Here is a 24,893-nt window from a genome sequence, read left to right on the forward strand (position 1 = left end):
GCAACCCAGATGACCTCTCCTCAATGCTGAGAAGAGGAGGTGCAGGTAGTCTTCCCAGTCTTCCCACCTGCCAGATACTGGTGCCTGGGACAGCTTCTCTCCAGCTCCCAGACAACCTGTAAGAATCAAGCTGCTCCCGTGGGCCCGGGTTCCTCATTAGGACATATGACCTGTGATGCCGGTGACCTTTGATATTCCCTGCACACCAGAACCAGAGTCATTCTATGTAAAACAGCTGCTGAAAAAAAAAAGAGTTATGAATTCTACTTCTTAATGTGCTAGCCAGAGCAATAAAATTTATTCTCAATACTAATTCTGTAATTTAAATTTATTATCTTTGTGCTTTACAGTATCCATAGCAGTAAAATCTATTCCCAAGAGTATGATTACAATTTCCAACTACTTAAGAAGGAATTTTTTTTTGTTTATGTTTTAAAGCCACAGCAATAAAATTTAACACCAACAATACTACTACAACTTTGTATGCCTTAAAACTTGCCATAAATGATAATTGTGAAAAGAATGTAGGGAAACATGTAAATGTTTTTTCCAGGAGAAAGTAGCTTTTTTGGTTTGTCTTATAGAGGTTCAGATTCTTTTTTGCAACAGAGTCTTGCTCTGTCATCCAGGCTGGAGTGCAGTGGCATGATCAAAGTTCACCACAGCCTTGATCTCCCAGCCTCAAATGATCCTCCTGCTTCAGCCTCCCAAGTAGGTGAGACTACAGGTGTGGGCCACCATGCCAGCTAATTACAAACAATTTTTTTTTAGTAGAGATGGGGGTCTCCCTATGTTGCCCAGGCTGGCCTTGCCTGAGCTCAAATGATCCTCCTGCTTTGGCCTCCCAAAGTGTTGGGATTACAGGCGTGAGCCACTGCCCTAGCCCCAGATTCTTTTTTTTTGTTTTCTTTTGTTTTGAGATGGAATTTTGCTCTTGTTGCCCAGGCTGGAGTGCAATGGCGTGATCTCGGCTCACTGCAATCTCCACCTCCCGGGTTCAAGCGATTCTCCTGCCTCAGCCTCCCAAGTAGCTGGGATTGCAGGCATGTGCCACCATGCCCAGCTAATTTTTTATATTTAGTAGAGATGGAGTTTCACCATGTTAGTCAGGCTGGTCTTGAATTCCTGACAGGCGATCCACCCACCTCGGCCTCCCAAAGTGCAGATTCTTAACAGAGCATTGGAAACACACTCCTTTCCACTTAGTCCACAAGTGTTGTTGATTCCACCTCCTAAACATTTCTTGAATTGGCCCATTTCTTTGTCTACGTGACCCCTGAAGCTATGTGCTATTGCTCTAGTCTGGGGGCTACTATCTTGTGCCAGGGCAAGTAATGTGGGCGTTTCAATGTCCACTATCCCACTGTATAATCAAATCTCCACAAAGCGGCTAAGAAAAAATTTTCAAAACAAATCTTGCCAGTTTTCAGGAAAACCTGGGCAATAGAAAACAAGTTATATGATACTGCAAGAAAGCAGTCAACTAAGTGCAGAATGTGGACAGTGTTCAGGACAGATGACTTGGTTTCTCTACTAAATCTATGGCATAAAAGAGGCAGAGGAGGCTGGGTGCGGTGACTCATGCCTGTAATACCAGCACTTTGGGAGGCCGAGGCGGGCGGATCATGAGGTCAGGAGATCGAGACCATCCTGGCTAACACGGTGAAACCCCATCTTTACTAAAAATACAAAAAATTAGCCTGGTGTGTTGGCAGGCACCTGTAGTCCCAGCTACTATGGAGGCTGAGGCAGGAGAATCGCTTGAACCCAGGAGGTGGAGGTTGCAGTGAGCCGAGATCGCGTCACTGCTCTCCAGCCTGGGTGACAGAGCAAGACTCCATCTCCAAAAAAAAAAAAAAAAAAAAAAAAAAAGCAGGAGGAGGAAACGATGGAATGAGAGAGAACTAAGAACTATGAACACAATGTTCAGGTATCATCGGTGGATTTGTGTGGCTCCTGCTAATTCCAACAAGCTAACTGTGTAAAGACAGTTTTGCCAAAATCAGGGAGGTCTGATTATGGTCTGGACAATAGATGCTGCTAAAGAACTGCTGTTAATTTTGATGGCACACGTTTATGTTATTAAAACAAAGCCTTTATCCATTAGAGGTGCTCGTTTGGGTATTTACAGATAAAATGACATGATGTCTTGCATTTGTACTAAAATACCTCAGCCTCTTCTTCCCCAGGGTGGATGGGTGGTGGGGATGGGCAAGGATCAAGATCACCAAAATGTGGAAATTTGTTGAAGCTGGGATGAGTACCCAGGAGTCTATTATGTCTACTCTGGTGAATGTTGGAAAAGTGGCAAAATTAAAAGTAAAAAATTTGAGAGAATAGGATAGATGAACCATTTGTTCTTTTTAATAGTAACTGATGTTTTCAACAAAGATGCTTATTCATCACCTATATTAATTAACAGGGTTTTTTTTGTTTTTTTTTTTTTGAGACAGAGTCTCATTCTATCACCCAGACTGGAGTGCAGTGGCATAATCTTGGCTCACTGCAAGCTCCGCCTCCTGGTTTCAAGCGATTCTCCTGTCTCAGCCTCCCGAATAGCTGGGATTACAGGCACCCACCACCACGCTTGGCTAATTTATTTTTGCATTTTAGCAGAGACGGGTTTTCACCATGTTGGCCAGGCTGGTCTTGAACTCCTGACCTCAAGTGATCCACCTGCCTTGGCCTCCAAAGTGCTGAGATTACAGGCATGAGCCAACGTGCCCAACTAATTAACAGATTTTTTTACTGAATACCTATCTTATGCAAAATTGAGTAAGATGCAGCTTTTGTTTCCCAGAAGCTTACCATCTGGTAGGAAAGGAAAGACCTACATTGGTGAAAAGCTAAGTAATATTAATAATAACAATAATAATACTACTACAAGACATAAGTCAACAACATGCAAAATAGTCAAGAGCTAGCACAAAAAAAAATTGAAGTTACAGAACACTGTGCATGGTATGCTACTTTTTGTATAGGTAAAGAGGAAAAAAAATCTCTAGTCTTGTTTGCTCTAGTCATATGTGTATAGGCAGAAAGGGCACATGTAAAACTGAAAAATTGTTATCTATTTAGGAGAGAGGAGAACCAAGCCAGAAAATACTTTGTACTGAATAGCTTTTATACTTTCTGGTTTTGGAAAACATGTGAATGTGTTGCATATTCACAAATTTAAAGTGAAAAATACTCTCATCTCCTTCCTCACAGCAGATCCTTATCAGATCCAGATCCTATTACCCTTGGTATATAATCAGAAGTCCTTTTCCTGGCTTTTCAGGACGGCCACAGTCTGCTTCTGTGTCCTCTTGTCTCGTGCCTGTCAGCCCTTGAGCTCTGAGCTCCCCAATGCTGGACTCTGAGACTCTGAGCTCTGCCATGCTCCCTCTAATGTGGAATTCAACAAACCAGGACCTCTGCTTGGCTTGTTCTCTTTCACCCTTTGGCCTGATCAAGCCCCACTCTTTTTTTTTTTTTTTTTTTTGATATGGAGTCTTGTTCCGTTGCCCAGGCTGGAGTGCAGTGGCATGATCTGGGCTCACTGTAACCTCCATCTCCCGGGTTCAAGAGATTCTTTTGCCTCAGCCACCTGAGGAGTTGGGATTATAGGAGTGTGTCACTGCACCCAGCTAATTTTTGTATTTTTAAGTAGAGACGGGGTTTCACCATGTTGGCCGGGCTGGTCTTGAACTCCTGATCTCAAGTGATCCACCCGCCTTGGCCTCCCAAGGTGCTGGGATTACAGGCGTGAGCCACCACACCTGGCCTCCTGCTGCTTCTTTAGGTTCCTGTTGAGATGCCACTTTCTCAGAGCAGCCTTCCCATGCCATCCCCTGGGCCCAGTCAGCTCCTTGCTTAAGTCCCTTTACTATATGCTCTCAAAGAATGGCCCATGTCTCTTCTGGTAAGGTAATATGTCCAATTTGTAAGAATTGTCTGACTTTATATTTTTTACTCATCTGTAAACTCCATGAGAGCACAGTTATGTCTCGTTTTTTTTCCTGTGTTCTATCACCTATTTCCAAGCTTCGTATTGAGTGGAGTTTAATATAGAATGCTTAGGAGAGGGAGCTGCAGTTATAGGAAATAAAGAGAAGATCATTTTGCCTGTGCATGATACATAGACTTCAGGAGGAGACGGAGTTTCCCTGAGAAGCAAAGAAAGAGAAAGACTGCTGGAATGATCAGAAAGACGTGGATGAGACGTAAACAAGAGGAGCCATCTGAAGCAGAGGTCTCCCTCGAATCAATGTAATGGAGACAAACATTTGTACTGGAGAGAAAAAACCTTCAGGAGTTTATTCAAAAGGAAAAGGAAACAACTAGGATAGGGGTTCTTAGAGAGTGTCCCTGTTTGGGAGGTCAGTGAAGCTCTGGCAACTGCACAAAAGCTCCATGGAGGTATCTACAAGCATTTTTTTTTCCTGAGTAAACTCGATTGCTTTTTGAGGATTCTAAAAGTCTGGAGATTTAAGAACTAAAGATCTTGTCAGGCTTAGGCAAATTAAGAAGAGCAAGACATGACCCGTGAGGCAGGGAGAAGTGGGAGGTGAATTTGAGAAGTGTTTCAGAGGAAAGAGCAGCAGTGAAGGAAGGGGAGGTGGTCTGGAGGGCATTAGGGAAGGTCATGGAAGGACAGTGAAACTCAGTGGAGGAGCCCTGTCAGGGCCTGGATTGCCAGCAGGTCATTCGTTTCCTTGAATCTTGCTTTTACTGTGAGGAAGAAGAAAGGGGGCTGGAGCACTAAAAAGCTACCTCCTTATCAGCCTCCTGATGTGGCCATGAAGGGATGAGAAAGAGCCCTAACACCTGGAAAACAGTGGGGCTTGTTCTTGCTTTAATTTGTTCTGTCTGTCATTTCCACCACAAGTGGTGTACAGATGATGACGGTCACCACTGATTGGTGGGAGGGGCTGCCCCCAGCCCAGCTTGCTCTCTAGATCTCAATACATTTCTGGAACTGTGAAGAGAGACTTTCAGCCTCTCCCCACCCTACACAATCTAGTCTCAGTTAATGTCTATACTGCCAGTGTGGAATGGCTCTATGCTTCATTTCTGTCACGTCTCCAGTGTGGAATTTGGCTCTAGCACCGGGCACTCTAGAAGTGGTTTCAGACAGTGGGAAGGAAACCTGTGGGCCCCACTGTGTTCTCATCTGTGCTTCTCTTGCTGGCTGGTGTCTCTGAGCCAATCGCTTCACCTCTGTGCCTCAGGCTTCTCATCTATTAGATGGGCATAACAACCATCCTGAGCCCAGTGGGCTGTGGTGAGGATGATCTGGTTTAATACACAGGAAACCCTCAGGGGAGCCCTAACCACATAAGCTGCTTGATAGTTGGCCCCTCTGACTGCCTCCCAGCCTGGTGGAAAGGCAGCTCCTCCTGAATAGCCAAGATGGGTCAGCCCTAACGTGACCCATTGCACAGCGGCTAGCACCGCCTCTTACTGACCTCCCCCATCAACCATTTCTCTAGAGCTACCATCGGGTGGCAGGTTTAAGGTGATGCCTGCCTGTCCCTGGGGCAGGCAAGTTTTTGTCCAGTGCTTCTCCTGTCTTTAGGGAGCTGGGAGATGCCATTTTCTTTTCAAGGCCATGGAGTGAAAGTCAGAAGATGTGTTTTTATTCTTTCTCTGGCCCCTTGTGATTTTGAGATTCTGAACTAGTTCCTTTCTGTCATGGAGCCTTTCTGTCCTTGCTCCTAAACTGAATATGTAGGCTGTTGGGAAGGTGCATTAGTCTGCGAGGGCTACCATTATGACGTGCCATAGACCAGGTGGCTTAAACAGCAGAAATGTGTTTCTTCACAGTTTTGAAGGCTGGAAGTCCAAGGTCAAGGTGTCAGCAGCATTGGTGTCTCCTGAGGCCTCTCTCCTTGGCTTGCAGATGGCCATCTTCTCCCTGTATCTTCACGTGGTCCTTCCTCTGTGTATGTCTGTGTCCTAATTTCTTCTTATAAGGACACCAGTTGTATTGGATGAGGACCCACCCTAATGACCTTGTTTTAACACAGTTATCTCTTTAAAAGCCCTATCTCCAAATACAGTCACACTCTGAGGGGGTTAGGACTTCAATATATAAATTTGAGGGGGACATAACATAACAAAGGGTTGAACCAGAAACTGTATGTTAAAACTTGGCATAAAGCAAGCATTTGGTAAACAGCAGTTAAAAATATTGATGCATGTCCCCGCACTGTGTTTTGCTAAGCAAACCTGTGGTCTGTGAAGGAGGATGAAGCTGCTACTCTGACTTGGCTGAATTAGCAGTCAGGCCCTATTTTCTTCTGTTTCACAGGGCAGATCTCTTACAACAATGCCTCTCTACCTGATGGGCTACCACTGGCAAGGGGTAAATGAGTGGTGAGCTGATGACATTAAAAAAATTTATTTTGGCTTAGGATTGACTTGGCAATGCGGGCTCTTTTTTGGTTCCATATGAACTTTAAAGTAGTTTTTTCCAATTCTGAGAAGAAAGGCATTGGTAGCTTGAGGCTACAGTAACCAAAACAGCATGGTACTGGTACCAAAACAGAGATATAGATCAATGGAACAGAACAGAGCCCTCAGAAATAACGCTGCATATCTACAACTATCTGATCTTTGACAAACCTGAGAAAAACAAGCAATGGGGAAAGGATTCCCTATTTAATAAATGGTGCTGGGAAAACTGGCTAGCCATATGTAGAAAGCTGAAACTGGATCCCTTCCTTACATCTTATACAAAAATCAATTCAAGATGGATTAAAGACTTAAACGTTAGACCTAAAACCATAAAAACCCTAGAAGAAAACCTAGGCATTACCATTCAGGACATAGGCATGGGCAAGGACTTCATGTCTAAAACACCAAGCAATGGCAACAAAAGACAAAATTGACAAATGGCATCTAATTAAATGAAAGAGCTTCTGCATAGCAAAAGAAACTACCATCAGAGTGAACAGGCAACCTACAAAATGGGAGAAAATTTTTGCAACCTACTCATCTGACAAAGGGCTAATATCCAGAATCTACAATGAACTCAAACAAATTTACAAGAAAAAAACAAACAACCCCATCAAAAAGTGGGCGAAGGACATGAACAGACACTTCTTAAAAGAAGACATTTATGCAGCCAAAAAACACATGAAAAAATGCTCACCATCACTGGCCATCAGAGAAATGCAAATCAAAACCACAATGAGATACCATCTCACACCAGTTAGAATGGTGATCATTAAAAAGTCAGGAAACAACAGGTGCTGGAGAGGGTGTGGAGAAATAGGAACACTTTTGCACTGTTGGTGGGACTGTCAACTAGTTCAACCATTGTGGAAGTCAGAGTGGCGATTCCTCAGGGATCTAGAACTAGAAATACCATTTGACCCAGCCATCCCATTACTGGGTATATACCCAAAGGACTATAAATCATGCTGCTATAAAGACACACGCACACGTATGTTTATTGCGGCATTATTCACAATAGCAAAGACTTGGAACCAACCCAAATGTCCAACAATGATAGACTGGATTAAGAAAATGTGGCACATAGACACCATGGAATACTATGAAGCCATAAAAAATGATGAGTTCATGTCCTTTGCAGGGACATGGATGAAATTGGAAATCATCGTTCTCAGTAAACTATCACAAGAACAAAAAACCAAACACCGCATATTCTCACTCATAGGTGGGAATTGAACAATGAGATCACATGGACACAGGAAGGGGAATATCACACTCTGGGAACTGTTGTGGAGTGGGGGTAGGGGGGAGGGATAGCATTGGGAGATATACCTAATGCTAGATGACGAGTTAGTGGGTGCAGCGCACCAGCATGGCACATGTATACATATGTAACTAACCTGCACAATGTGCACATGTACCCTAAAACTTAAAGTATAATAAAAAAAAAATTCTTTTTTGGCTGCAATGCTATTGAATGGAAAAATCTATTTGGTAAATCTCCTTAGCCTACATATTATTAGGGTTATTATGACATCATCTCTTTTGTCTGGATTTTGCTTTTACTGGTCACATGCCCTGTGTCACTGGAGCACGAGCTCACAGTTGGCATCTTATGAATAAAGGAAAGTCTGCCTGAGCCATTTGGGTTGCATGCAATATCTTTACAAAATGGCTTTTCAGTATCTCTTCAATTAAAACAAAAGCAAGCCAACAGCAGCTATCACAACAACAAGAGAATGAAGACAGTGGGAGAAGGAGCTACTTGGTTCCAGATATAAGAAAAGTGGAAATTTCTCTTTTAGCTGGATCATTCTCTTGGACCCTCTACCACCAGGCCCACCTTGGACAGTTTCAGAACGGTAGCTGAGACTGCTATTGGGCCTCTATTCTCTTTCTTCTTGTTCCCAGGTTCCCAGGTGACGAATGCCACCACCAGTTATGTATTCCTTTGTGTGGTGCTCTGGTGGCTCTCTGTCACTCAAAATGTCCCTCTAGCTGAGGTTAATGACTGTGAGCAAGGACTTGCTCATTGGCACCTACCCTTCTTCAGGAGAGAAGCACACAGAGGCTTTCAAGCCCTGCGCGATTGCCTGCAACCTCTGACTCTCCAAGGCCTCTACATCCTGACCTTCTCTGCTCTTTTAGTTAATGACAATTATAATGTTCAAGAGGCACACCACTGAGGCAAGAGGCCTCAGCTAATTGGACTACATGATTAAATGGAGGTAGATTCCCACCCTCACCCCCGTCCCCACCTTAGTACACAGCAATGTATATTTCAAGAGTATAAATAATGAAATTAAAAAAAAAAGATCTGAAACCTAATAGAGGTTTAAAATAAAAAAAATTTAAATTTGGATTTTGGGAAAAAATATTCCTGGTTGCAATTTTTGATTTTCTTGATGGATGGATTTGCTTCAGGTGGGGGATGTCAAAGGCTCAGGTGTGTGTGGCGGGGGATGGTGGACTGCAGCTGCAGTGCGGAGAGGCCAGATGGCTTGTAAGGAAGGAGCGAAAACTCGGGGAATTCTAATGATGAGAAGCCCTCAAAGAGCTTTCAGAGAGCCGGCAGACATGCTGGGAATCCTGGGAGCTGTCGCAATTAGCATCTAGAAATGACTGTAGGACATCCTTGCCTAAAATACAGGTTTACAGCACAACACAGCCTCAGCATCTGGAGTGTGTGCTGAGAACAAATACACAGACCAGCCAACTATATACATATTTAGCATCTATATGCATGCACATATATTTATAGATCAGATACAAATCATATATATACACATATAAAGGTTGTACACATTGTTAAATCTATGCTGATTAGAATGGAGTCAAATAGGGGGAGGGTGGCTGACCACAAGGGTTCACAGTCTCCATCTGTCATGAACTCTCCTATGTCGCTATCAGGAATGAGTCCCTGGCTGCCTTTCTGGGAAGGGAATGGCTTCCTGTGGTGATGAACGAAGCCAGCCAAGTGCAGGTCGAGGCATGCTCTCCACCCTCCCTAGAAGCTGTGCCACCAACGAAAGGTGAGGCTGCCACCATCACTCAGGCTGCAGTGCAGCTCTCTCTTGAGCTGAGAAGAGCCTAAGACTTTTTTCTTTTAAACAGTACAGGATCACCTTGAATAACTAATGTTCTAAGATTCAAGTGGAGTTCACTCAAAAAGGTCATAGCCCTCTTGGGACTCTTTCTAGTCCTTAAGGTGCTTGTGTGTGTGTGTGTGTGTGTTTGTGTGTATGTGTGTGTTTGTGGAGGACGGTGGGAAGGTTGGGAACAGGTTGGAAGGAAGGCGTCATCTTCCTCTTTTTAAGAAAAACAGATGCACTGAGTTTGTGATTTGCCCGTTGTCTCTCAGAAGAAAGGAACCCATGTGTGGACTCGTAGTTGAGTGCTCCCTCAAGGAGGATGTAAGACAAAAGGAGAAAAGTGCCTCGTCCCACTCTTTTACTGACAGTGCTGGGGCTGGTAGTTGGCAGCGATTTGAGAGCAGGACATGCAGAGGGAAAGGAGGGGTGCTGAGTCAATGCTGGAGGGCTGGCTGGCAAGTCCTTACCCACACCCTACCTACTTCCTGCCTATCCCACTATCATCTGCCACTTCAGCCCCCTCAGCCTTATTCAGTGAACTTATTTGACCTTGATTCCACTGCCACAATGTCACACCGGAATACCCGACTTAAGTTTCATATGAAGTGTTTGCCCTGGTGGTGAGGGGTAAGGGGTGAGGGTGGGGGCGTCCTGTCTTCTCTGTGGCCATGAGAGCCTCCCTGCCTGTTTGGCTACCATCACACTTGGTGACACAGGAGATGGATTAGGGGACAAAAAGAATTCCTGCTGAGCTTGGGGGTACTGTAGGAATTCCATTTACTTCCCCCACCCCCTGCCTCTGGCTAATTTGTGCCTTTTAGAGCAATGCTGCATTTTCTGCTATTTGGGTTTGTTCCGGGTCTTTGGAGGGGAATAAATATGACCCTGAAAGTCTCAATTTAAAAAGGAAGAATCCACAGCAAAGCAGTGTATTTGTATTTGTATTTTTTGCAGCTTTTCCCTGCACCTGTAGTAGAGGTTTGCTGAGCATCTCACCCAGTGTCAGCTGAGTTGCAGGTAAAGTGGCTTGGGCTGCCGGACTCTGTCTGCTGGGATTTTCTTTCTTCTTTTTCTTTTTTCAGTATTTATTTGCCCCCAGGGAGTGCTACAAAACACATTGAGGATGAGAAAAAAAGAAGCACAGAGATGAGCCTCCCAGGTTTTACAGCCCAGAGTGGTTTGAGAACCCAGGAGACAGTCCTGCCATTGAGGGCCAGTGTCTTGGGGTGTGATGGGCATGTGTGGGATCGAGGCGACAGAGGATGGAGTGCAGGGTGGGAGAGGACTAGTGATAGCATTTGAGATCCAAATCTCACTCTAAAGCCAGCTCAGAGCCAAACCAGGGTGTTTAGCTCTAAGACGGAGCAAGACTTCTAGCTGGTTAATTCCCTTCAGCTTAGCGTGCAGTGCTACTACTGGCTGGCAGTTACTGTGCAAAGGAACATGGGCAGAGAGCCAAGAGAAGAGGAAGCGACCTGGGTAAAGCTGAACTGAGCAGAGGCCTGGGGAGAGGTGTGACAGGCCAGAAATCAGAATGAGAACATGGAATAGTATTTGATGAGGAAGTGAAACAGTGGGGTATGGTAGAAAGGCATTGCTCTCTGGGGGCAGAAGACCTGGCTCTGACCTCTGCACTTTATGAACTGGGAAGCTTTATTAAAGAGATTTACCATCTGTAAAATGGAGCCAGTGATCATCTCCACCCTGCCTACCTCACAAGGATATTGTGAGAATTAAATGAAAACATTAAAGCCCCACAACCCCAAATCCATGCCAACATACCACCTGGCCAACTGTGATCACCTAACAAATTTGTTTGAATAAGTAAGCAGTATAAAACAGAAAATAGATAAAAGATGATTAATAAAGCAAGAGGGAGCTAGGTGGAGAAGGTAAGAAAGAACCAAATGGTGATAGTGTTGGCAAAGGCATCAGACTCACTCAAAAATGGCGGAAGAGAGTGGCAGTGTCCAATGGCTGTATAGCAGTACTCTTGCTGTGAACACCTGGAGTACCAGCTACTGTGCTGATGGGTGGGAGGGAGGTACAGGGAGAAAGGTTCACAGGGGAGAAACGACTGGGTGAAAGCGGGTAAGAGAAAGTCTAACAACTTTCTGTTGTCTGTTTTAGGGAGGCTGAAGGGATAGGCAGGAAGTTGCATAATAATCAGACAGATGGAGTTGGCTTGGATGGGTTAGAGTTGAAAGTGAGGAAGAGCTGCATCTGAAGCCTGAGGCAGGTCACCTTATTTGAAATTCAAGATACAGGAGTTCTTTATTCAAAATGGCAATCTTAGGAAGAGACTAACAATTTTCTCAGGAGAGACAGTATTCACTGATTTGCTCTGAATCCAATGATTTGGTTCAAATTGGAAGTTAAAGCAAACATAAAAGAGACCAGAGAAAGAGAGTCCCATCTCTAACTGAAGAGAGGGCAAGTGAAGCTTCTGTAATTCAGTGTCATGAGACAAAAAGGAAAGGATTTCTGGAAGGAGGTGACAACACTGTTTCTCTCAGGAAGGGAGCCAGTGAACATGGAATGATTGTAGTTGATTTAAGGGGTAAAAGTTGAGAGGCAAAGGACAGCTAAGGTTGAAAGGGCTTCTCTGAGTAGTTCTTTTGTTCATGGGCAAGATGTTGCTGCTGACGGGTTCAAGGGGAGTGGGAGGGCACAGGAGACGTGAGAGGGATGATGGATTGCCGATGAACCTATGAAGAATGAGGCAAAGCAGCATGAAACCATTTGTTTGGGCTTTATAGATTTTCTAATAAAAACGTCAAAGATTTTTCACACCATTTTGAAAATGTCATCTAATGCAAAACAGTTCTCCTCATGCTTGTGACAAAGGCTGAATTTCCAATGGTAAATTCCAGCTCAATATGTAATAACAAACCTTGTGGGGTTTTCCTGCAAGTCAAGCCAGGGGTCAGGTTTGGTCCAGGGTCCTTCATCAGGGTGACCTTTGACCCTTCACAGTGACTGAACCCTCCCAGTAGAACCCAGAACTTTCCTAGTTGTGAGGTATTTGGCAAGTGATTGAGGGTTGGTGTTAGCCCAGTGGGAGCATCAGGGAGTCCACTTCTGAACCATATTTGGGGAGTGGAGTTCAAATCTCTGAGCCTCTGACTCAGTCAGGTTCTTCCTGGTGCAGCCATTAAAAACACCTTTCAATGGACTTTCTTGTCTGTAGTCTCCCCAACTTGCAGTCTACCTCACACACCCCCTTAAAGTTATTATCATTATTATTTTAGAGCATCTCTCATCAAGTAACTTCCCAGCTCAAAAACCTTCAATGACTCCCCTGTGGCGCCTTTTGCTGTTTCCATTTCATTGTATTTTTTGGTCTTATTTTTGAGTTAGGGTCTTGCTGTATTGCTCAGGCTGGTCTCACTTGAACTCCTGGGCTCAAGTGATCTTCCTGCTTCAGCCTTCCGAGTAGCTGGGACTACAGGTGCACACTGCCATGCCTGGCTCCCATAACATTTTTATTTAACCCAAGAGATCCAAAATGCTATCATTTCAAAACACAATCCACATCAGAATGATGACTAAGATATTTTCTATCCTTTCTTCATACTGAGCTTCAGCATCCAGTGTGTGTTTCACCAGTTACAGCACATCTCAATGTGGAGATTACATACTTAATCTGTATTTTGCTTTCATAAGATTTACAGGTGAAAGAGAAGATTCGCAAACCAAGTTGTCCAAACACACCTTACAGTTTTCTAATAACTGAATCAAATATTAGTCTTTAGAGCTGAATTAAATTTGAATCAAATGACAAATCCTTGTCTTACTGCAGAGTAGTTTCCCATTGTATGGATGGACCACTCCCCTTTGCCTTTTAAATCAAGTGCAAACTCCTTTGACTGGCTTTCTGCATCCTAATTCCTTTGCAGCTTTATCTTCTTTCATTCCTTGGCATGTATCCCAAGCTCCGGCTAAACTCAACTACTTTTCCCCAACCCGCAGTGCTTTGCCCCTCTGGCTCTGCACTGCTGGGACATTCTTCCTTTACACCATCGTTGCCTATTGAAATCCCACCATTCCTTCAAGATTTGTCTCAGAAGCCACTTTCATGAAATCTTTCCTGACTCTCTCAATCTGTCGACTGTAATTTCTCCTTTCTTTTGAACCCTCTTTAAAGCATGTTGTGCCTTCAATCAACCCACTTTTTTTTTTTGAGACAGGGTCTTGCTCTGTTGCCCAGGCTGGAGTGCAGTGGTGCAATCTTGGTTCACTGCAGCCTCCGCCTCTCAGGCTCTAGCAATCCTTCTACCTCACCCTCCTGAGTAGCTGGGACTACAGGCATATGTTACCATGCCTGGCTAATTTTTGTATTTTTTTTTGTAGGCATGGGGTTTTGCCATGTTGCTCAGGCTGGTCTTGAACTCCTGGGCTCAAGGGATCCTCTCACCTTGGCCTCCCAAAGTACTGGGATTACAGACAAGAGCAACTGCACCCAGCTGATCAATCCACTTTAACATGTATTCTAGTTCCTGTATGCTTGCTTGTTTTTTTTTTTTTTTTTTTTTTGACAGAGTTTTGCTCTTTTGCCAAGGCTAGAGTGAAGTGGCATGATCTTGGCTCACTGCAGCCTCTGCCCCCAGGTTCAAGCGATTCTCCTCCCTCAGCCTCCTGAGTAGCTGGGATTACAGGTGCCTGCCACCATGCCCGGCTAAATTTTTTTTGTATTTTTTAGTAGAGACGGGGTTTCACCATGTTGGCCAGGCTGATCTTGAACCCCTGACCTCATGATCCACCTGCCTCGGCCTCCCAAACTGCTGGGATTATGTGTGAGCCACTGCACCCAGCCTGTATGCTTGTTTAATCCAAGATGCTCATTTCCTTGAAGTAGAAAATCATGCCTTACACATTTGTGAGCCCCCTATACTTACCATCTGCAATAAAGTTTGAGTTGCCTCCTTGTGGGCCACCATGGTTGGGAAAGAGAGAAAGCATTCATCTTAAGAGTCAGTCTTCTTTTTGAGTTCTTCTCTATTAAGTTTTCCTTGCTAAAAGGATCATATATGGTGGAGGGTCTGGTAGAAAAGGAAATAAGAAGGCAGGGCCTTGGGGTTTTGTGTCTTGGTCTAGTCTAGCATATCAAATCTGCTGCCTTACATTTTGCTTTTGCAGGTGTGTCTTTCCTGGGCCCAGAAGCAGAGCCCAAGAGTGGACTTGCAAATATGCTGTCCTCTTCCCTTGCTGGCTCTCTGCAGCTCAGAGGTACACAGTTAAAAGGCAGACAGATAGGTAGATAGAGAGAGCGGTTTCTGAGAAAATTCTGTTACACTTGAGTAACTTCTAGAGGGACTTGCTCTGGGGGGTCTCTGGTTGGGTCCTGCTCCAAACATTTCCTCTTGGATCTTCTAAGCATGAGGTTGTCACTGCATGTCCCCCAACACTGGAAGGGGTCACTTTCAAGGATTAGAGAGAACATAGGAATTATGTTTTTTGACTTAAAAGAAAAAGTATGGTTCTGGGGAGTGGATAGAGGGAAGGCAGTAAGGGTTACTGTGATTTTTCTCAGAACAACACAGGGGTCAACTCAACAGGCTCACCACCTTTGGCCTGTCAGGAGCCACCAACATGTTGGAAGTCAAGTGAGCGAGGTCTAGGCAAGAGTTTGGTAGTATGCAGGAAGATATCTCTGAGAAGCTTAATAAAGCAGCTCCCAGCCACAATTTCTGGGGTGCAGGAAGCCACTGCAAGGATAACTGGCAATGACTCAGTTTGTTAGTCACAGAATTTGATGGTTTAGCTCTAGATCTACCAGTGCCTTATGGTAGAATCCTGAACTGGTCCGTCTTGTGCCCAGGTTTCCATATCTGGGAGAGATTGTTACCTGTCATTTCTGGCATTCTGACCAAACATTATGACTGTTTTGGCTTTAAGATGGAAAGACATGCAGCCTTATTTATTCATCTATCCATTCGTTCATTCACTTAACAGATATGTATGACATACCTGCCATGTACCAGGAGAATACAGCAGTGAGCAAAACAGATGAAGTTTCTGACCTCATACACAAACTAGCACAAGTAAATATAGATACACAATATTAGGTGGTGAAAAATTCTCAAAAGAAAGATAAAGACAAGGTAAGGGGTCAGGAGGTAATGCAGTGCTGTTTCAGACAAAGCAATCTATCATTTGAGCCTCATTTGAGGGGGTGGCATTTGAGCAGGGATCTGAATGAGGTAAGAGTGTCCCTGGGGAAGCTCCCAGGTACCTGAAGAGAGAGAGGAGTCGATTCAGACAAACGCATAATAAGTTCTGTGAGCCTCAGTTTCCATGGTTTAAAATAAGGCTAATAATGCCGACCTGGCAAGGTGCTTATGTGGATTAAATGCAATAGCACATATAAAGTGCTTTGCACGTGGTAGAAAGCCTCGGGTGGGTGTTTCAATGTTAGCGGATGCTCCTTTATATAACTTGGGTGAGTAGACTGGGAGCTCATTCTGTTCTTCCCCAGGACCACTTCAATCTGCAGTCTCTCCAGGCTTCTTTCTCAGCCTGTAAAGGGAGGAAACAACTCTTGTCCCTTCCTCAAAGGAATGCAGGCAGCCAGGTGAGGAAGCATCCATAAGAATGCATTGAGCCAGCTCTTGGGAGAAAGGTCCCCAGAAAGCCAGAGCCATGTGAGAGGCCAGCCCTGACTGAAGGCTCAGTTCAGACTCCAGGACCAGGCCTGGTCTTTAAAAATGTAAGGTTTAGACTGTGGCACAGACAGATTTGCTAGCACAAGAGAGAGCTGGAAAGAGAGCCAGTCCCCAGGATGGAGGCTCTGCAGAAGGGCAGGCTCAGAGTGACCGCCAGGAAGCAACAAAGCAGCGACACAAACAGGAAGCTGGCGACAGGGTGGGGCCTGCGCGGGCCTGGAGGAGCCGGCAGCAGGGCTGCGGGGGAGCTGGGATGCACCCGTAACGCACCCTGGGGCAGGAAGGGAGGCCTCTGCCTGGGCCCCGCGGTGAGGGTTACCTGCCATTCAAGTACCAAATAAAGCTTCCCCTTTCATTTTTCTTAAAAAGGACATCAGAAAGCTGCCTATTTTGTAACCCCCTCCCCAACTCCCATCTCCCATATCTGTCGGGAAAGGTGTTTTTTGTTTGTTTGTTTTTTGTTTAAAACAAAACAAGACAAAACAAAACAAAACCCTCCTTCTTACCGATATACACATCCACCTGGTAATTAATGAAATGCCATTTCATCCCAATGTCTGTCATTGCACTCTGCTGAGTCCAGAAGCTGGGAATCCATGCCAGCCTTATTATTTAGAAAACTGCCCGATAGGGGCATCTTGCAGATGACTGACTCCCAGTGACAACAGGATCTGCATCTAAAATAACATGAGTAGATTGCGGATTGATTCATGGGATCCAGCATGGAGCAGCCCAAACTCCATCCTTCCAAGTTTCATCTCCGAACTCCTGTCAGTCTCAAAATTGATAGAACAGCCTGAAGCCATTAAACAGAGTTATGTCAGCAATCACCTTTCTCATTCTCTCATATGGGTGCGAATACGTCAAGGGGACCCAGGCAAGGGAACAACAGGGTGGCTTTTTTTTTTTAGCATTCAAGGGAACAACAGGGTGGCTTTTTTTTTTAGCATTATGACAAGCAAATGCTTGAATACCAAGGAGCACATGAGCTTTACAGCAGCAGGGAAAAAAGAAAAGAAAAGAAAAAAAAGCCCCCACATGGACGCCTGCCTCCAACTCCAGTGGCCCTGCACGGTGCAAAAAGGAGATTGCTAACAAAAAGGTTATTCAACGCTTCTCCGAATAAACCCAAAGGTAACAAGTATGGACGGAGCAGATGTCAGGAGGCTGAGCGCTACTTTGGAAAACTGCCGAGATATTTAAAAATAGCGCTTTCTTATTAACCCGAGCATAATGCTGAAAGTCCTTTAAAATAAAACTTCCCAGATGCCACCTGCATCTGACATGGCAATAGGATGAATGCCAGTGTGCCCACTGATACTGGAAATGCTCTCAAGAAACAGCCTCGACTGATTGTTCCGGCACAAACAAATCACAAACTAATTTATGTATTCCTGCAGCTGCACCCCAGCCGAGGCGGGGGAGTCGGACCAATTCACAGTTGACTAGTGCTGCCTCATTCTTTGCAGATTTTGGCATTTAACTATAATTAAGATTTATTGTTCACTAGCTTGCAGGTCAGGGCAAGCATGACAATATGGGTGACTTTTCTGTTTACTAGTGAAATGTCTGGTAGGAGGAAGCCTCAAACCTTCCAAGCAGAACTTGACAGAAATAAATAGCGCCTCTTCTCTCCAGGACTAGCACATTACCGATTTTAATCAGATGTGAGGAGTCACTTGAAGGGAGGGAAGGGACAAATCGGAAAGAGCTAGTGAACTGTGCTGTTGCTTTTGCATCAGAAGGGTAATGGCCAGAAGCCAAATCAATTATTGCTGATCTTCTGGATTTGGGAAAGGTATTGTCTGCTTGGTGTGGGAGGGAGGGAGCCCTTGATGGTTCTGCAGAGACTAGGACCTGTAGTTTCTCCTGGCCTCTCCTTGCCATTGAAAGGAGAACCATTCCTCATCTCTTCTTACTCTCAAGGATGCCGCTGGACCAGATCAGATGGCCCGAGGAGGAGGGAAGCAGGGTTCAGCAGTCAGCGGCCACTCACCTGCCTTTACCGTCTGTCTGCTGCGGTCCTGGGCAGGTGACCCACGACACAGTGGGTGTGAAGAAACAAATGATCCTGAGCAGACAGATGAAGAAGGGCATCCCATCCCCACTGCTTTATTAGAAGGCAGAAATGCTAACGTGCAATGTGCTTCCATTTTCTAGCATCTATAATTGATTGTATATCACCGTTTGGACTCCTTGGGATATTTTTGTCGGTGTCTATATAAAACAGAAAAACATCACTCACAAGGACCACAGGTTTGAAGCCTGAGCCTGCTCTGTTTCTCTTGTTCCCTGACAGAGGAGGAGGGAAAATCCTTTGCCCTTCTGTAGTGCTGCTAACTACAGAATGTAATTATATATAATAATGTAAAAAATGCCTTTGTATCTCACCTTAAACTGTAAAGGATTCAAAATATGGCTTTCAAATATCTATACAACACTTTAGGAAACAAAGGTGAAATAAGTGAGTGAGAAAATTGGGTGATTCCTGCATTCTTCTGTTTCATGCTGCCTGTTAACATTAGCACTACCAGTTCCTGGAAGCTGAAGTTCCTGGTTTGATTCAGTAATGTATAATGCAGGACTTAATTCCAGCGCATTTGTTTTTCTCTTTATCAGAAAAGGATCTTGAGATTCTGAGAAGTAAAAGGAAACTTTTGTTTTGACATTAGGAGAAGGCTGTAAAAGCAAGCATTTTCCCCAAAGGTGAAAATAGTGTGAAATTAATTTTAGTCGTGTTTAGATATGAGATCGGACAAAGGATTTAAAAGAAAACTTTTCATCTATTTTAGCAAGTGAAGATGTTTTATAGTAGCAGATACCAGATTGCTAATGCTGTGGAATTCAGTTCAATTGAAGTGTTACTGAACCATGGAAGAGGAAAATAGAATTGTGGGAGGGTGGATTCTAATATTTAGATTTGGCTATTTGTAGTATTTTTAACCACTTAAAAAGTCAAGTTCTTGGTTGCACTAAAGTCACTATCGTTAGTTTAGTTTTCAGATTTTGCCAGTTAAATCAGCATCACTTTATCCTAAGGAAACCTGAGACAGGCATAGAAAGATTCCAGTAAGTCTCCCAGAGAGCCAACCTGACCCTAAATGCAAGCCTGGTTTACCAAGCCATGGAACTTTGAACTTGGTGATGCTCTGTAAGGTCATCTCCTGAGAACGCAAGCAGCCACCACGCTACTCCCGCATTGCTGATAGAAGCAAAGCACATTTATAAACACGGGCACCTGCCACTGTGGACACAAACCGGCACAGAAAAGGACGTGCAGGACACAGTGGCCATTTAGTGGACAGGACGTCGTTAAGCGCACCGCCCCTGGGTACAGACAACGGAAGGGGGAGGGAAGGAGCAGTGTGGCAGGGCCATGCGCTCGGAACAGGTGGGAAGCTGGAGGAAAATCACTTTGCTCTCAGCTGGGGAGGGCTTTGTGGAGGAAGCAGGATTTCAGGAGCTGCAAGAATGATTGCAGGAGACAGCTTGACGGGATGGGATGGGGCAGGATTCCAAGCACAGGGACTCCTGCCCAGGAACGAAGGAAATCTTGAAGGAGGGAATATGTGCTTAGTTGATGGGTCAGTGGGAAGAATTCCAAGGAAGAAAGAGGAGGAATGGGCCATTTATTAGTAGGGCAACTTGGATGCGCAGGACGCAGATCGTCATCTACTCAAACACAGTCACTGTTTTGCCATCATCCCTGAACGCGCAATTACTTTGTTACAGTCCTCCACATTTAAGCTTTGTTTTTTTCAACAATAATATGGCACCCAAATTGGTCACCACACTCATAAGGGAATACTAAAAATGAGACATGATTCATCAAGCTGCCTTCAGTAGAGATAAAATGGATCAAAACACAGGCAAAATAACCCCACTGTTAGAAAATTTTTCTAAAAAATGTGTTTTCTAAATTAGAGAAGAGAGGAGTACCACGGAGTAACTATTATTTCCTGAGACAGTAAGAATTGGGGATTTACTTTTTTTTTTTTTTTTTTAAGAGCTAGGATCTCACTATGTTGGCCAGGCTGGAAAGCAGTGGCACAATCATAGCTCACTGCAGCCTCAAACTCATGGGTTCAAGTGACTCTCCTGCCTCAGCTTCCCCAAGTAGCTTGGACTACAGTCATGTGCCACCACAGCAGGCGGGCATTCACTTTTAAGAGGAGGAGAGTAAACAATAGTTTTCTATCTTCAAGGAAGAAACAGAGATGTTAGAGATTTCAGGTCCTTGTAACTGATATTGCTGAGTTACCCTGCAAAAATGCTGCAGGAATATTTACTCCTATGAAGTTTGTGAAAGACTGGCTATTTCCCCAAATGCTTCCCAGGAATAGAAGTTATCAGGACTCATGATGTCATAAGACAAGACAAGTATCTTGGCCTAGTAAAACAAAACTAGTATTTTGTTTTACTTTGATCTTCCCTGGGTGTGATGGGGAGCATTTATTTAAATATAAATTTCCATATCTGAATCTATATCTATACCTAATCTCTTTTGACCACTTGCACCTCTTATGTGAATTGGCTATTCAATCCCTTTGGTCATTTTTTCTGTTAGGCTCTTTGCCATTTATTATTTTATCTAATTTATATGCATATTAGGGTTACACATACCATTAGTATAAGAGAGTATACATTCTATTGTGCTCTTGCCAGCATTCAGTAAAATTGACACTCTTAAAAATTTTTTTTTTTTTTTCTGAGATAGAGTCTCATTCTGTTGTATAGCCTGGAATGCAGTGCCTCGCCCTCCCAGGCTCAAGCGATTCTCCCACGTAGCCTCCTGAGTAGCTGGGACCACAGGCACATGCCAACACACCAGGCTAATCTTTTAATTTTTTGTAGATACAGGGTCTCCCTGTGTTGCTCAGGCTGGTCTCGAACTCCTGGGCTCAAGTGATCTACTCGCCTCGGCCTCGCCAAGTGCTGGGATTACAGGTGTGAGTCACTGTGCCTGGCAAATTGATATTCTTAATTTGCCAGTTGAAGAGTCTAAAAAGAGTATTTTGATGTTTTTGTTTATATATACTTGCTTATTAATGAGGTTGAACTTTTTTCATATATTTATTAGAAATTTTTATTTCTTTTGCAAATACCCCCTTGCCCGATTTTGGCAGTTGCCAATTGTGTTTTTCTTATTGGTCTGTAGGACCTCTTTATGGGGCATGAACCCAATGTCTCTTACTTGTTATATATATTTTGTCATGCAAATTTTAGGCACTTTAGGTATCCTATGAGCTATCAGTGAGCTTTTGCACTTGGTTTGCAGAGACACTGCCGATGGGGTGGGAGAAAGGTGTGTGTTTCAACGCTGGCTTGTGTTCTCTTTAAGTTTCTGAAATCAAACATAATTCACTATCTTGAGGATTAACTTCCTGTGGAAAAATACCTCATCTTGTCTATATAAGAAACGGCTTTGACCATGTACCATACAACACAGCAACCCTGGCCTTATTGTGCCAAAGGTGCATTTGCTTGATATTATTACCATTGAGCTGATGAATTCAAATGCCTCTCCTTGCTCCCTTGACCACAGGAGCTGGGGCTGGGATGGGAATGGGGAGGGAGTAGGGAATCAGTAAATAGACAGCAGAATCACTAAGGTGGTAGGAAGGGCAGGGAAAAGACTTGAACCTGGCCCCAAATGTTGCCTACTCTTGCTCCATTCACCTCTGCTTGTTGCTGACTTCTGACTTCCTCTAATTTTCTCCCTTGGTAGGTTGGCCTTCTTCATGTGACAGAAAATATCTTGCACTGTCCTCCCCTGAGAGAGGCAGACTCGTTTGTCTTTTAATTGCATCCTGCAGAAAGCACTCTCTTGAGGGCCCAGTCCAGGTCATGAGTAAGGTTGATAGATAAAATACAGGACAACCGGATGCATTAGAATTTCACAGAAGCAACTCATCATTTTAAAGTTATAAGTATGTTCCAAAAGTTGTATGGGATACACTTATACTAAAAAGTTATTCATTGTTTATCTGAAATTCAAATTTAACTGGATGGCCTGTATTTTTATTTGCCAAGTTTGGCAAACCTAGTCTGCTCCTGGACCAATTGACCTAGAGCCAGGGAGCTGAGGTTCTGTCTACCCTCACATCAATTAAAGAGTGGGCCAGATTATGTCCTTACTGTTGCCCATTTGTTAATGGTGGAGATGAGGGGGTGGTTAATTACACTAAACAGGCAATTCTATGAGTATCCACCATACCTGCTCTACTTAAAGCAGCTGGTCTCTCTGCCCAGAATGGACTTTCTACCAGCTCTCCTGGCCCCAGGCTGGCCTGCCTGCATACTGCTTACTCTCTGGCACAATCCTCTCAGGTTCCTGTCATTGTTCCTGTCATTGTTTGTCAACTCTCTGGGTCTTTGTTCTGTGCTATGATGTAAACTATGTGAGAAGCAGCGCAGCGCCTGGCTGGGGCTTCTGCGGTGCATCCCTACATTTCATGCAGGGCCCGGCACACGTTAGGCGGAAGGACACACTTGGTTCGCACCAATTCAGCTAAGAGTCCCCCGTATCTGTTACATGCTTTTCCTTCCACGCCTGTCCCGTCACCGCTGTAATGGGAGACCCTACACTTTGATCTGCAGAGACCATGCATGCGCTTGTCCTTTCTACTTCTTCATGGTTTTCGCTTGTGCAGACGAAATTACCGTAGTCCAGCTACTGGGGGAAGCTGAGGCAGGAGGGTCTCTTGAACCCACGAGTTTGAGGCTGCAGTGAGCTATGATTGTGCCACTGAGTTCCAGCCTGATCAACATAGTGAGACCCTATCTCTTAAAAAGAAGTAAATTCCCAATTCTTACTGTCTCAGGAAATAATAGTTAACTCTGTGGTACTCCTCTCTTCTCTAATTTAGAAAACACGTTAAAAAATTTTTCTAATGATGGGGTTATTTTGCCTGTGCTTTGACCCATTTTATCGTATTGCAGGTAGCCTGATGCATCATGTCTTTATTTATTTATTTATTTATTTTTTGAGGTGGAGTCTCACTCTGTCACCCAGGCTGGAGTGCAATGGCATGGTGTCGGCTCACTGCAACATCCACCTCTTGGGTTCAAGCGATTCCCCTGCCTCAGCCTCTCGAATAGCTGGGATTACAGGGGCCTGCCACCACACTTGGCTAATTTTTGTATTTTTAGTAGAGATGGGGTTTCACTCTGTTGACCAGGCTGGTCTCGAATGCCTGACCTCGTGATTCACCCACCTCGGAGTCCCAAAGTGCTGGGATTACAGGCGTGAACCACCTTGCCCAGCCCATGTCTCAGTTTTTAATATTCCATTATGAGTGTGGTGACCAATTTCGGTGCCATGTTATTGTTGAAAAAACAAAGCTTAAATGTAGAAGACTGTAACAAAGTAATTGGGTGTTGGGGAATGATGGGAAAGCAGTGACTGTGTTTGAGTGAATGGCGATCTGCGTCTGTTTACCTTCAGTGTCTTCCATTCCCGCCTGCCTGGTCACTGCCAAGCCTCACGCCCATGCAGGGGCTCAGCTCTGAGTGGAGAAGGCCAGTGTGGCAAGGCACACCTTTTAGCCAAGGGAGACAGCGCTAGGGCAGATGCTCACCCAGAATCCGCTCACCCAGGGATGCTGGACCCTGCACATCCTGGGAGGCTTCTTAGCAGATGGCTCTGGAGAGCAAAGATGTCCAGCTTTCCCCTTCCTGTTTTCTTCCCTCCCACTCTTGCATTTCCTCTTCCTCTATCTGGAGTCTTCTCCTCCCCCAGTACCCTTCCCTCTAACTTCCTTCCACCCCACAACCTGTCCTGACCACACTGCCCACCTTCTCGCTCACCCAAGCTCTTTTGCACTCTCTCTCTTTCCTCCCATTTAAAGAACATTTGCTATATACTGGGCACCTTAGTACCTTACATACATTTTGTTTTCATTATATCATTTTTCCCAATGCTATAGTGTAGCAATATTTATTTCCATTTTGCAAATGAGAAATGGAAACATTAGGAAATGAGAACTGTGAAGGAGATACAGCCCGAGAGTGATGGAGATGGGCTTTGAACCTGGATCTTCTGACAGCAGAGTCTGTACTTGTGAGTGTCGTGTTGTACTGACATGTAGCCCTCAGAGGCTGACATTTCAGCGTGCATGACATGTATATGGGTGGAATGGGGAGGGCCAATGTTTAGGGGTAGGTGTCCTGTGCAGCACTGTGTGAGTCCTCGTCCAGCTTCATCCATGACCAGGCTTGGTGCTGTGCTCCCCCGCTCTTTCCATCTGTGCCAGCTCCCACTGCCTCCATCATCACCTGTCTTCACCCCGCTCCTTTGTTTTTCATTCATTACACTGTGGGCTAGCTTCTTCCTCCTCACATCTAGGGAGGCATTATTACTTTGCAAACAAAACATGTCCTGCTTGCCCTAGAAGATGGGTTGTCTGCAGAGATTTCCTGCAGACTGCTGTGCTCATCGTGGCTCAGGATTCTTGTAAACTGCAGTCACAGAGGGTGGCACTTCCTGCCGGAGGGAAACTTGTCCTCTCCCTGACCTCTGCCTTATTATCCCTTGCCGTCCATCTTGGAATCCCTCTCCCATTTGCACTGAGGCCCTCCTGCTACCAACATCAGGACATCCCAGGCAGGGAGAGAACCATGTCATTTGGAGATGGCAGGGGACAGACAGACATTGCCAAGTGGGCTGTTTTCCTGCCTCGGTCCTTCCTGGCCA

The 24,893-nt window shown here is 44.7% G+C and overlaps 1 protein-coding gene across 1 annotated transcript in view, besides 5 other annotated features; it reads left to right on the forward strand.

The window, feature by feature from the left end:
- CLVS1 (clavesin 1) overlaps window positions 1-24,893 on the forward strand; it is a 536,782-nt gene that overhangs the window by 23,433 nt on the left and 488,456 nt on the right. The window lies entirely within an intron of this gene.
- Window positions 10,916-11,025: an enhancer, noted in NCBI's record as "active region_27437". NCBI's record gives its function as "activates an Ori minimal core promoter by ATAC-STARR-seq in GM12878 lymphoblastoid cells {active_cell/tissue: GM12878}" and the evidence as "EXISTENCE:reporter gene assay evidence [ECO:0000049][PMID:35858748]".
- Window positions 11,266-11,335: an enhancer, noted in NCBI's record as "active region_27438". NCBI's record gives its function as "activates an Ori minimal core promoter by ATAC-STARR-seq in GM12878 lymphoblastoid cells {active_cell/tissue: GM12878}" and the evidence as "EXISTENCE:reporter gene assay evidence [ECO:0000049][PMID:35858748]".
- Window positions 16,144-16,213: an enhancer, noted in NCBI's record as "active region_27439". NCBI's record gives its function as "activates an Ori minimal core promoter by ATAC-STARR-seq in GM12878 lymphoblastoid cells {active_cell/tissue: GM12878}" and the evidence as "EXISTENCE:reporter gene assay evidence [ECO:0000049][PMID:35858748]".
- Window positions 16,230-16,524: an enhancer, noted in NCBI's record as "tiled region #12445; HepG2 Activating non-DNase unmatched - State 21:Repr, and K562 Activating DNase matched - State 5:Enh". NCBI's record gives its function as "activates a minimal TATA promoter and a strong SV40 promoter by Sharpr-MPRA in HepG2 and K562 cells {active_cell/tissue: HepG2 | K562}" and the evidence as "EXISTENCE:reporter gene assay evidence [ECO:0000049][PMID:27701403]".
- Window positions 24,289-24,876: an enhancer, noted in NCBI's record as "OCT4-NANOG hESC enhancer chr8:61925128-61925715 (GRCh37/hg19 assembly coordinates)". NCBI's record gives its function as "activates a minimal SCP1, AML or CMV promoter by ChIP-STARR-seq in primed H9 embryonic stem cells {active_cell/tissue: H9 hESC(primed)}" and the evidence as "EXISTENCE:reporter gene assay evidence [ECO:0000049][PMID:30033119]".

The sequence above is a fragment of the Homo sapiens genome, chromosome 8, assembly GCF_000001405.40.
Source record: "Homo sapiens chromosome 8, GRCh38.p14 Primary Assembly".
NCBI lineage: Eukaryota > Metazoa > Chordata > Mammalia > Primates > Hominidae > Homo > Homo sapiens.